The sequence below is a fragment of the Homo sapiens genome, chromosome 9, assembly GCF_000001405.40.
Source record: "Homo sapiens chromosome 9, GRCh38.p14 Primary Assembly".
NCBI classification, from domain to species: Eukaryota; Metazoa; Chordata; class Mammalia; order Primates; family Hominidae; genus Homo; species Homo sapiens.
Window position 1 is genome coordinate 128,002,838 of NC_000009.12, and position 13,021 is coordinate 128,015,858.

General features: G+C 50.4%; 2 annotated features.

The window, feature by feature from the left end:
- Nucleotides 4,793-5,032: an enhancer, noted in NCBI's record as "active region_29065". NCBI's record gives its function as "activates an Ori minimal core promoter by ATAC-STARR-seq in GM12878 lymphoblastoid cells {active_cell/tissue: GM12878}" and the evidence as "EXISTENCE:reporter gene assay evidence [ECO:0000049][PMID:35858748]".
- Nucleotides 5,333-5,392: an enhancer, noted in NCBI's record as "active region_29066". NCBI's record gives its function as "activates an Ori minimal core promoter by ATAC-STARR-seq in GM12878 lymphoblastoid cells {active_cell/tissue: GM12878}" and the evidence as "EXISTENCE:reporter gene assay evidence [ECO:0000049][PMID:35858748]".

Sequence of the window (13,021 nt, forward strand, 5' to 3'; positions counted from 1 at the left end):
TGGTCTGGAACTCCTCACCTCAGGTGATCCACCCACCTCAGCCTCCCAAAGTGCTGGGATTACAGGCGTGAGCCACCGCGCCCGACCCTCCTTGTCACTCTTTAGACTTCAGCATTGGTGTCATTTCTGCAGGGAAGCTCTCCCTGACCCCTCCAGAGAAGAATGGTCCCTTTCTAGATACTCTTAGGGTACTAAGCTTGCAGCACTTAAAACGACAGCTCATTGTTGGGCCATTGCTATTTATGTCTATCTCCCCTCAGGCAGTGAGGTCACAGTTGTAGAATCTGTGTCCTGGTCTGCATCCCAGTACCTGGAAAGTGTCAGGCACATGCATCAGGCACATGTCAGTGTCTGGCAGACGGTGTAGCTCAGTGGATATGAGCATGAGGTCAGGGCCAGGCTGCCCAGGTTTGACTCCAGCCTCTATCAATACGGGCAAGTTACTGAATTTCTCTGCACTTTTCTTTTGCGCATCTGTAAAATGGGGATACTAGTACTTATCTGGGCCGGGTGTGGTGGCTCACACCTGTAATCCTAGCACTTTGGGAGGCCAAGGCAGGTGGATCACCTGAGATCAGGAGTTTGAGACCAGCCTGGCCAACATAGTGAAACCCCATCTCTACGAAAAATACAAAAATTAGCTGGTCGTAGTGGCACGTGCCTGTAGTCCCAGCTACTTGGGAGGCTGAGGCAGGAGAATCGCTTGAACCTGGGAGGCAGAGGTTGCAGTGAGCCAAGATGGTGCCACTTCACTCCAGCCTGGGCGAAACAGCGAAACTCCATCTCAAAAAAAAGGTACTTATCTGATCATTAGGGTTGTTGGAGGGTTGCGTGAGTGAATATATGTGAGGTGCTAGGAATGGGCGCCTGGCCTGCAGAAAGTGCTGGATTAGTGCTCATGTTGGCATTAAGTGAACTGGTTATATGAGGGTCTCTAAGGATCCATGTATAGCAGGCCCTGGTGATTGCACCCAGCATAGGAGTTGCTTAGCCTGTCACAAGTATGTATGCTCTTTGCCATGGTTGTTGTCATGTCGGTGTTGCTGCCATGGGCCTATAGTTCTAGTGATAGTGACGATATACCCCCAGAAGCTGATGGCTGCCCCACCGTTCACATTACTCTGGCTCGGCGGCTTGCCCTGAGTGTGTCCATCCACTCCTGCTCCTGCTGAAGAGAGCCTGGCCTTCCCCCACGTAACCGGTTCAGATTCCTCAGAGGACTTTTACCATCACCCTGTCGGGGCAGAGCTTTGCTGTTCTGGGGCAGGTGTCCTAGCAGCTGTCAGCAGGGACGTGTTACAGCACAGAATCTGGGTAAGGAACCATTCCCTGGGAGGAGGCTTGGACCCGGCTGGCTTTCCACGCCCAGGCCCCTCAGGACAGCTGCCACATAGGGAGGCACCATGTTGCTTGGGGGGCTTAACCACCTAATCAGATTTCCTCTGTTGGCAGAGTGTAGAGGACAGTCTTTGGGGAGCCACCCAGCCCACACCTGCTCCTCTGAGAACCCCTGAGAACTCCTTGGAAGGCAGCTTAGTAAAGTTGACCCCACACCATTGGCTGACTGGGTGCCACCTGACCCAAGATGGGCCAATCAGATTCTATCTAGAAATTTGTACTCAGAAGTGGTCTTAGGGTGGGCGCGGTGGCTCACACCTGTAATCCCAGCACATTGGGAGGCAGAGGTGGGCGGGTCACCTAAGTTCAGGAGTTTGAGACCAGCCTGGCCAATACAGTGAAGCCCCGTCTCTACTAAAAATACAAAAATTAGCTGAGCATGTTGGTGGGTGCCTATAATCCCAGCTACTCGGGAGGCTGAGGCAGGAGAATCTCCTGAGCCTGGGAGGTGGAGGTTGCAGTGAGCAGAGATCCTGCCATTGCACTCCAGCCTGGGAGACAGAGAGAGACTCCATCTCAAAAAAAAAAGAAAACTAGAAGTGGTCTTTGTTGACATCTGAACTACCCACTGGTGTGGCCATATGCCCAGGAAAGCAGAGAATGAAACAGCCCTTGGCACTAAGGACTCTGGAGGGTCCTGCTGGTTCCCAGGTCTTTATTTTGGTCCCTAGGGAGCTCTACTGTAGAGCCTGCCCTCTCCACCAGCCGCCTCCTTTGTCCATATAATCAATTCCTGGGGCCGGATGTGGTGGCTCACACCTGTAATCCCAGCACGTTGGGAGGCCAAGGCAGGCAGATCACTTAAGATCAGGAATTTGAGACCAACCTGGGCAACATGGTGAAACCCTGTCTCTACAAAATGTCCAAAAATTAGCTGGGCACGGTGGCATGCACCTGTGGTCACAGCTACTTGGGGAGGAGGCTTGAGGCAGGAGAATCACTTGAGCTTGGGAGGTGGAGGTTGCAGTGACCTGAGATCATGCCACTGCACTCCAGCCTGGATGACAGAGGGAGACCCTGTCTCAAAAAATAAAATAGACTCATGCCAGCACTTTTTGTTTTTTGTTTTTTGACGGAGTTTTGCTCTGTTGCCTAGTCTGGAGTACAAAGGTGCAATCTCGGTTCGCTGCAACCTCCGCCTCCCGGGTTCAAGCAATTCTCCTGCCTCAGGCTTCCGAGTAGCTGGGATTACAGGCACCTGCCCTCACGCCAGGCTAATTTTCTTCTGCATTTTTAGTAGAGACTAGGTTTCATCATGTTGGCCAGGCTGGTCTCGAACTCCTGATCTCAGGTGATTCACCCGCCTCGGCCTCCTAAAGTGCTAGGATTACAGGCGTGAGCCACCGCACCCAGCCAATCCCAGCACTTTGGGAGGCTGAGGCAGGCAGATTACCTGAGGCCAGGAATTCAAGACCAGCCTGGCCAATATGGTGAAACCCCCGTCCCTATTAAAAATACAAAAATTAGCTGGGCATGGTGGCAGGCACCTGTATAGTCCCAGCTACTCGTGAGGCTGAGGTGGAAGAATCCCTTGAACCTGGGAAGTGGAGGTTGCAGTGAGCTGAGATCATACCACTGTACTCCGGCCTGAGCAACAGAGCAAGACTTTGTCTCAAAAAATTAATTAATTAATTAATTAATTTAATAAATACATAAATAAATTACTCAACCACTCAAAGCTAACTGTGAGTGGGCTTCCACGCTCTTCCAAATGCACCATGCTGTGCATTTCCCCAAAATGCTGGCCCTGCCTCTGCAGAGGAAATGCTCCCACCCCTGCGGCAGGCAGCACAGCCAGGGCCGGCACCAGTGGGTGATTTACTGGTCTAGCTGAGGCTGACCCTGAGCCTTCCGGGAAGCATCTGCACTGCGGCTCCCATCACTGCCCTGGGAGCCGCTGCACGCCTGGGGAAGAGCCCAGCTGCCACAGCACAGGAAGCCCTCGAGTCTGTGTCAACTCCCGTCTCCGGCTGGACAGGACCAGCCAGGGAAGAGGAGCCTCCGTGAGGTCAGCAGGGGCCAGGCTCTGCTCGGGGCACTTGTTTTCTTTTCCTCTTACAAAATGGAAATTGCTTTATTTATTATAAATATAAATGCAGATGTATGATTTTTTAAAAAAGCATCACGCAAATGCGGAAAACTTTAAAGAAAAAAGCCTACCTCACCTCCGATCCCATTACTCAGAAAACACATACACACACACTTCTGTTTCCCCAGAAAGGAAATCAAACTGTACATAGAGAACCTGCTTTTGTTTTTTCTTTTGAGACAGGGTCTCACTCTGTCACCCAGGCTGGAGTGCGGTGATTCAGTCTTGGCTCACTGCAGCCTCTGCCTCCCAGGCTCAAGCGAACCTCATGCCTCAGCCTCCCAAGTAGCTGTACCACCACGCCCAGCTAATTTTTTTTTTTTTTTTTTTTTTTTTTTTGGAGAGACAGGGGTCTCACTATGCAGCCCAGGTTGGTCTCGAACTCCTGGGCTCCAGTGATCCTTCCGTCTCAGCCTCAAAGTGCTGGGATTACAGGTGTGAGCCACCTTGCCCGGCCAAATTTAGCTATTCTAATAGATATGTAGATGTATTTCCTTTTGGCTTTAATTCTCATTTCCCTGATGACTAATGAAGTGGGGAATTTTCGTGTCCTTGTTCCAGGCTATCTCAGTATCTCATCAGTAAATGGAAATCTACCTTGAGATTTGTTGTGTTTGCTTCGGCAGCACATATACTAAAAATTGGAATGATACAGAGAAGATTAGCATTACAAAAAGATCTGTAATGACTGTGTAGTGCTACAACAGTGGATACAGCATTTTATTTTATTTTATATATATATTTTTTTTTTGGGGGGGGGTGGTGGGGGGATGGAGTCTCACTCTGTTGCCCAGGCTGGAGTCCAGTGGCACAATCTCAGCTCACTGCAACCTCCACCTCCCAGGTTCAAGCGATTCTCCTGCCTCAGCCTCCCAAGTAGCTGGGACTACAGGCACGCGCCACTACGACCAGCTAATTTTTGTATTTTTCGTAGAGACAGGGTTTCACTATGTTGGCCAGGGTGGTCTCAGACTCCCGACCTCAGGTGATCCGCCTGCCTCAGCCTCCCAAAGTGCTGGGATTACAGGCGTGAGCCACAGCGCCTGGCTACAGCATTTTATTGAATCGAGGCCCTAGTGATGGACATCTTGGGTAGCTTGGATATTTTGCTTTCCACACGATGCTATGACACAAACCTAGCATGTACATTTCTGCGCTTTTGTCCATGGCTTCCTGTGGCACCGATGGGTAAAAGGAGTGCTCCTGTTTAAGGCTTTTGAGACTTATTGACTAATAGCTCCCCTGGAAACCTGCACCTCTGACAGCCCCATTGGCAGCATATGGGGAACAATTCCTGCTTCTAATTCAAGCAGAAACCTCCAGCACGATGGCTTGCAGGCTTTGAGGAAGTCTTTCAAGTGTGACCTCATGACTTTTGGCAAGAAGCCAGAAATAAGGGCAGATTGGCCACAGGATTCACTTGAAGTGGCCTTGGAAAACCATTACGATGGACTGGGGGAGGCGAGGCTGTTTCAGTGGGGAAGAAGGGGAAGCGCTGGGGTCAGGCCTGGGGGTGAGCCCAGCAACAGTTCATTCCTCACCCTGCAAGCCCGGCCCAGCCACTTGGCCTCTCTCACATGAGCTTTCTCAGATGTGGAGCAGAACAAATACTAACCCTCAAGCGTGTGAAAGCCCTTTACAAACTCAAAAACAACCCCCAAAGGTGTGTTGGGAGGACCTTTTGTTTCCTCCCCGGAAGCGTGGGCGGCATGCACTTCCTGGTTGTCTGTCTGAGAGCACCTGCCTGAAGAGGATGCTGAGGAGAGACAGAGCAGGCTCCGGTGAGGGAAGAGGGGAGGTGTGGCCAGCAGAACAAGGGTCTCCCCGCACTCCAGATCCTAATCCTGTGATTATGCATGGAGGTGCCAGGTGACATGGCCAAGGATAAGGTAGCAGATGGAATGAAGGTTGCTAATCAGCCGACCTTCAAACAGGGAGATTATCCTGGATCATCTGGGGGCCCATTGTGATCACAAGGGTCCTTCAGTGTGGAGGAGGAGGCGGCAGGAGAGAGAACAGAGAGATGCAGTGTGAGGACTCAGCCCTCCGTTGCTGGCTTTGAAGGTGGAGGAAGGGGCCACAAGCCAAGGAATGCAGGCAGCCTCTAGAGGCTGGGAAAGGAAGGAAACAGATTCTCCGGAAGGAGCCTCCAGAAGGAACGAGGCTCTGCTGTGGACACTTTGACTTTAGCCCTGTGAGACCCATGTCACACTTCCATCTTCCAGATCTGTAAGATAATGAAGTTATGTTTTCTTTTCTTTTCCTTTTTTTTTTTTTTTTTTTTTGAAATGGAGTCACCCTCTGTCACTCAGGCTGGAATGCAGTGGCACGATCTTGGCTCACTGCAAACTCCACCTCCTGGGTTCAAGCGATTCTGCCTCAGCCTCTGGAGTAGCTGGGACTACATGCACCCGCCACCACGCCTGGCTAATTTTTGTATTTTTAGTAGAGATGAGGTTTCACTACTTTGGCCTGGCTGGTCTCAAACTCCTGGCCTCAAGTGATCTGCCCGCCTTGGCATCCCAAAGTGTTGGGATTACAGGTGTAAGCCACTGCACCAGGCCTTTAACTTACATTGTTTTAAGCCACTAAGTCTGTGGAAATTTGTTACAGCAGAGATAGGGAACTAACACAGGAGGACAGGCTGGCACCCTGGGCCTTAGGGACGCCTCCATTGGCGGCATTCCAGGTGAGGAAGGCACCAGGGGTGTGTGAGAGCAGGGGCCCTTGTGTCCTCTGGCATCGCGGAGCAGTGCTCTTTGCTTTGGGTTAGGGTTCACATGAAGGGAGAGAGAAATAACCCCAAGCAGGGGCCTTGAATGCCAGGCTGGGGGCATGCTGGAGGCACTGGGGAGCCACCGAGGATTTCAGGCAGGGCAGAGAGGTGATGAGGACTTGCTTTTAGCAGTGGGGATGGAGTGAGGGAGCTCTGGGCCTGGAGTCAGAGCCCTGGGTTCAAGTTCCAGCACTGCCTCTCTGGTGACGTTGGGGGCATGTTGCAGATGCCCTCCGGATTTGCACTCCCTTTCCTGAAAACGGTCGGGCTAGTTCTGGGGTCCTTCCTAGTCAAGGAACATAGCTGGCCCGGCCTAGTCAGGCCCTTTTGGGATCCAAGGGAATTCTCTGACCTGACACCTAGAAGGTAGAGAAAGTAAGAAAATAATAATGATGATAATAATAGCAACATTTATTGAGCACTAACCATGGGTTAAGAATGTTCTGTGATACATCTCATTTAATTTCACCATTCTGTCAATGGCTCTCCAGTGCTCTTCGTTTAAAGGTCAACATCCCCATTGTGACCCACAAGGCCCCATGGTATGGCCCTGCTGGCCACCTTCGGCCTCATCTCAGACCTCTCTCCTCTTCACTCTGCACTCAGCTTCTCAGTCCCAGAAAAGAATGACCCGCTCCTCCCATCTCAGGGCTTTGCACAAGCCCTCCTGCATCCGGGAATGCCGTCACCCTGGTCTCCACTGGCTCAGCCCCTCCATCCTCTGCTCTCAGCCCCACAGCCAGGTCATTGCCCTGCCCTCCCGCAAATCAGTTTCCTGTGTATGTACCTGACTCCATTTCAGATAACAAAGCCCTGCGTAGAAGTACTTCTGAGGCTGGGCGCGGTGGCTCAAGCCTGTAATCCCAACACTTTGGGAGGCCGAGGCAGGCAGATCACAAGGTCAGGAGTTTGAGACCAGCCTGGCCAATATGGTGAAACCCCGTCTCTACCAAAAATACAAAAAATTAGCTGGGCATAGTGGTGGGCACCTATAATCCCAGCTTCTCGGGAGGCTGAGGCAGGAGAATTGCTTGAACCCGGGAGGCAGAGGTTGCAGTGAGCCAGGATCATACCACTGCACTCCAGCCTGGACAGCAGAGTGAGACTACATCTCAACGAAACAAAACAAAACAAAAAGAAGTACTTCTGAACTTCTGAGTATATATCTGCGTGATTACCTGTTTGGTCTCTACCTCCCCAAGCAGGTCATGGGGACTGATAGGTTAGGATGGTGTTTGCTGAAAGAATAGGCGAGGCACGGTGGCTCATGCCTGTGATCCCAGCACTTTGGGAGGCTGAGGTGGGCAGATTGCTTGAGTTCAGGAATTTGAGACTAGCCTGGGTAACGTAGTGAAACCCCATCTCTACAAAAAATAAAAAAATTAGCTGGGAATGTGGTGGCATGCACCTGTAGTTCCAGCTACTTGGGAGGCTGAGGTGGGAGGATGGTTGAGCCCAAGAGGCAGAGGTTGCAGTGAACTGAAATTGTGCCACTGCACTCCAGGCTGGGTGACAAAGCAAAAAATAATAGTAATAACATAATAATAATTTTTTTTTAAAGAAAAAGCCAAGTAAAGTAGCTCATGCCTGTAATCCCAGCACTTTGGGAGGCCAAGGCGGGCGGATCACTTGGGGTCAGGAGTTCAACACCAGCCTGGCCAACATGGTAAAACCCCGCCTTTATTAATAAAACAAAAATTAGCCAGGCGTGGTTGCACGCACCTGAAATTCCAGCTACTCAGGAGGCTGAGGCAGGAGAATCACTTGAACCCGGGAGGTAGAGGTTGCAGTGAGCCAAGATCGTGCCACTGCACTCCAGCCTGAGCAATAGAGTGAAACTGTGTCTCAGGAAAAAAAAAAAAAAAAAGAATAAATAAATTATTAAATAAATACCTGTTTACTGAAGTAATAAACAATAAACAACAGAGCCCAACAGTTGGTTTGTTCTCATCCACATTTTTCTCAAAAGCAAAAATGGGCTCAGAGATCAGAGGTTTGTCCAGGGTTACCAGGTGAGGCTGGAGGGTCCCCCTCTTTACAGGAGGCAGGGGCTGGGCTGGGGCCCATCTGAGTCGAGGGTCACTGTGAGTGGAGGTCAAGGCTGGAGGAACTGGGCCCGTCTAGGGGGCGGGTCAGCTGGGGAAGCACCTTAGAAAGGATGTGCTGAGCACAGCTGCCCAGGCAGAAGAGGAAGGAACCCAGGGCTCCTGTGGCTGCAGCCGATCTTCCCGAGTCTGGCCCCACCCCCGAACCCCGGCCACTCTGTAACACTTCCACACACTCCCTCTGGCCAATGTTGCTACTTAAATGGCTTTTCAAGGTGGGTCACACCAGGTACGGACAAGGGTTGAAGGCCAGGCCCACTTGCCCACTGCCCACAGAAGTATAAATCGGTCTGACCATTTTAGAGGATGGTTTGGCAATATCTGTGAAAACATGCAAAGTGCAAACCCTTTGACCCAGTAATTCCGCTTCTGGGAACTTATCCTAAAGAAACGCTAACGTCCATGAAATTGGCAATGTTATTCACACAGGGGGTTATTTACTGTAGCACTGTTTGTCATGGCAAAGAACTGGAAGCCACCTAATGTCCATCAGGAGGAAATGGATAAGTAAATTATGCTTGCAGTTCCCATGGAAAACTACAGTCATTCAAAACAATGAGCCTGTCTATATGAAATGCCAGAGGAGGATGTTCATGATATATATAGGTATTGTTAAGATTTCTTAAAGTTGCGGAACAATATGTTTCAATTATCTATTGCTGAATTGCAAAGTACCCGGAAACTGGCCCTTCTTCAGCATCATGTGGCAGCAGGGGTCACTGATGCGGGTGCATTCAACTGGGAGTTTGGCTGGGGCTCGAACTTCCAAGGATGAGAGGATGATGCCCTCTCATCCTCCAGCACCCATCTCCACATGGCCTTATCATTCCACAGTCCTGCCTGAGCCTCCTTCCAGCACGGGGGTTTGATCCCAAGAGTGAGTAATGTATTTCAAGAAAACAAGCCTCCAAGTGTAAACCCTTATTGAAACTCTGCAGCAGGCTTACTAGTGTCCCTTTGACCCAAGTTTATCACATGACCAGGCCCAAATTCAACATGTGACAACCTACATCAGGGCCTAGATGCTGGAGGCAAGATATACCAGGGCCATTATTAACAATCTAGTATAACATATGTAATAGGATCATATTTTATTAAGAAACCATGGCGGGTACAGTGGCTTATGCCTGTAATCCCAGCACTTTGGGAGGCCAAGGCGGGCGGATCACTTGAGGTCAGGAGTTCGAGACCAGCTGGCCAACATGAGGAAACCTGGTCTCTGCTAAAAATACAAAAATCAGCCGGGCGTGGTGGCAGACACCTGTAATCCCAGCTACTTGGGAGGCTAAAGCAGGAGAATCACTTGAACCCGAAGGCAGAGGTTGCAGTGAGCTGAGATCGAACCGCTGCACTCCAGCCTGGGCGACAGAGTGAAACTCAGTCTTAAAAAAGAAAAAAAGAAAAAAGAAAAGAAACTATGGTGGGGCATGGTGGCTCACGCCTGTAATCCCAGCACTTTGGGAGGCCGAGGCGGGCAGATGCTATTGTAGACCACATCCTGCACATTCAGATGAAGATTCCTGAGCCAGATCTTTCTGCAAGTCCTAAACTATTATCCCAGGATAAGTGCTGAGAAGAAGAACTGCTGAGTTGAAGGTTAGGAACTTTTTTTTTCTTTTTTTTTGAGACAGAGTTTTGTTCTTGTTGCCCAGGCTGGAGTGCAATGGTACAGTCTCGGCTCACCATAACCTCCGCCTCCTGGATTCAAGTGATTCCCCTGCCTCAGTCTCCTGAGTAGCTGAGATTACAGGCACCTGCTACCACACCCGGCTATTTTTTTGTATTTTTAGTAGAGACGGGGTTTCACCATGTTGGCCAGGCTGGTCTCGAACTCCTGACCTCAGGTGATCCGTCCGTCTCAGCCTCCCATAGTGCTGGGATTATAGGTGTGAGCCATTGCACATGGCCTGCTTGCATTATTTATTCACCAAACATGTACTGAACACTTATTTGTGCCAGGCTCCAGGCTGGGCACTGGGGATACTGGGATGAACAGACACTCCCTGCCTTGTCAAGCTCATATCTCAGTCTGGACTGGGGGTAAGGAAAGGAGAATAGGGAGGGGACAAACAATGCCAGTCCACGAGGGAACAGTATGGGACTGGGCATGAGCATGGGCACCGTGGGAGTCCCCCCATTCCTCCAGATTGAAGAAGGTAGAGACCTAGTTAAAAAGGGGAGATCTTGGCCGGGCACGGTGGTTCATGCCTGTAATTCCAGCACTTTGGGAGGCCAAGGCAGGTGGATCATTTGTGGCCAGGGGTTCAAGACCAGCCTGGCAAACATGGTGAAACCCTGTCTCTACTAAAAATACAAAAACTAGAGCCGGGCGTGGTGGCTCACGCCTGTAATCCCAGCACCTTGGGAGGCTGAGGCAGGCAGATCACCTGAGGTCAGGAGTTCAAGACCAGCCTGGCCAACATGGTGAAACCTTGTCTCTACTAAAATTACAAAATTAGCTGTGCATGGTGGCATGCGCCTGTAATCCCAGCCACTCGAGAGGCTGAGACAGGAGAATCGCCTGAACTCAGGAGGCAGAGATTGCAGTGAGCCAAGATCATGCCACTGTACTCCAGCCTGGGCGACAGAGGGAGACTCTATCTCTAAATAAATAAATAAAAATACAAAATAGCCATGCGTGGTGGCACGTGCCTGTAATCCCAGCTACTTGGGAGGCTGAAGCAGGAGAATCACTTGAACCGGGGATGCAGAGGTAGAGGCTGCAGTGAGATTGCACCACTGTACTCCAACCTGGGCTACAGAGGGAAACGCTGTCTCAAAGAATATAAAGTGGCGGTGGGAGAACTCTCAGAGTCCCAAGGATACCATTGACTATTGCAATTTTTCTGTTCTCTACATATGCATGCACTTAATAATCACACTAGCTTATGTTTATTGAGCCCTTGCTCTGGGCACCTGACACGTATAAACTCACCAGATCCTCGTAATCACCTGTCAGGTAGGGACTATGTTTGTTCCCATTTTACAAAAGAGGAGACTAAGCCTCGGAGAAGTGAGTTGTTTGCCCGTAGTCACTCAGCTGGGAAGTGTCAGAGCTGGGATTTGGACACGCACAGTCGGTCTCCTGGGTCCTATGTCTTCTTTTTTTTTTTTTTTTTTTTTGAGAGGGAGTTTCTCTCTTGTTGCCCAGACTGGAGTGCAATGGTGCAATCTTGGCTCACTGCAACCTCCGCCTCCCAGGTTCAAGCGATTCGCCTGCCTCAGCCTCCCAAGTAGCTGGGATTACAGGCATGCACCACCACGCCACGCTAATTTTGTATTTTTAGTAGAGACAGGGTTTCTCCATGTTGGTCAGCCTGGTTTCAAACTCCCGACCTCAGGAGGTCTGCCTGCCTTGGCCTCCCAAAGTGCTGGGATTACAGGCGTGAGCCACCGCACCCGGCTGGTTCTATGTTCTTGACCACTCCACCACGCAGCCACAAATTAAACACAAACAGAACAACAAGAGCAAGTGTTCAGACCACCACACAAACCGCGTGTGACAGACGATGATGTTTTGCAGAAATGAGGTTGCGCCCCACCATGTTGAGTCCAGCCCACAGGCTCCCCAGGGGCTTTGGCCTGCCGACTGCTTTTCTCTTCCCAAACCACAGGGAAATTGTCAGCTATTGTCCTTCACTTCTTTTTTTTTTTTTTTTTTTTTAACATGGAGTCTCGCTCTGTCGGCCAGGCTGGAGGGCAGTGGCGCAATCTCTGCTCACTGCAACCTCCACCTCCCAGGTTCAAGCAATTCTCCTGCCTCAGCCTCCCGAGTAGCTGGGATTACAAATGTACGCCACTACACCTGGCTAATTTTTGTATTTTTAGTAGAGATGGGGTTTCACGATATTGGCCAGGCTGGTCTCGAACTCCTGACCTTGTGATCCACCCACCTTGGCCTCCCAAAGTGCTGGGATTACAAGCATGAGCCACCGCACCCAGCCTGTCCTTCACTTCTTACAACAGTGTTTTTTTCTATATACAGATTCTACCTCTCTCTCCAAGAAATCGGTGTTATGAGTTCCTTGTATGTCTTTCCAGGGATCATCTTTGCAAATACATTTTTTTTTTTTGAGACAGGGTCCTGCTATGTCGCCCAGGCTGGAGTGCTGTGGCATAATCCTAGCTCACTGCAGCCTTGACCTCCTGGACTCAAGCCATCCTCCCACTTCAGCCTCCAGAGGAGCTGGGACTACAGGTGTGCACCACCATGTCTGGCAACTTTTTAATTATTTATTTTGAGATGGAGTTTTGCCCTTGTTGCCCAGGCTGGAGTGCAATGGCGCAATCTCGGCTCACTGCAACCTCTGCCTCCCTGGTTCAAGCAAGCAATTCTCCTGCCTTAACCTCCTGAGTAGCTGGGATTACAGGCATGCACCACCACACCCAGCTAATTTTGTATTTTTAGTAGAGACGGGGTTTCTCCATGTTGGTCAAGCTGGTCTTGAACTCCCAATCTCAGGTGATCCACCAGCCTCGGCCTCTCAAAGTGTTGGCATTACAGGCGTGAGCCACCACACCCAGCTGCAAATACAAACTTATGTTCTGTGTTTTCCTCTCATTACAAAACATTCTTATGCCACATCTGTGGCTCTGCCTCAGTCTCTTTTTACTTAACAGAGGATCTGGGAGATCATCAGTGGGGAAAGCGCT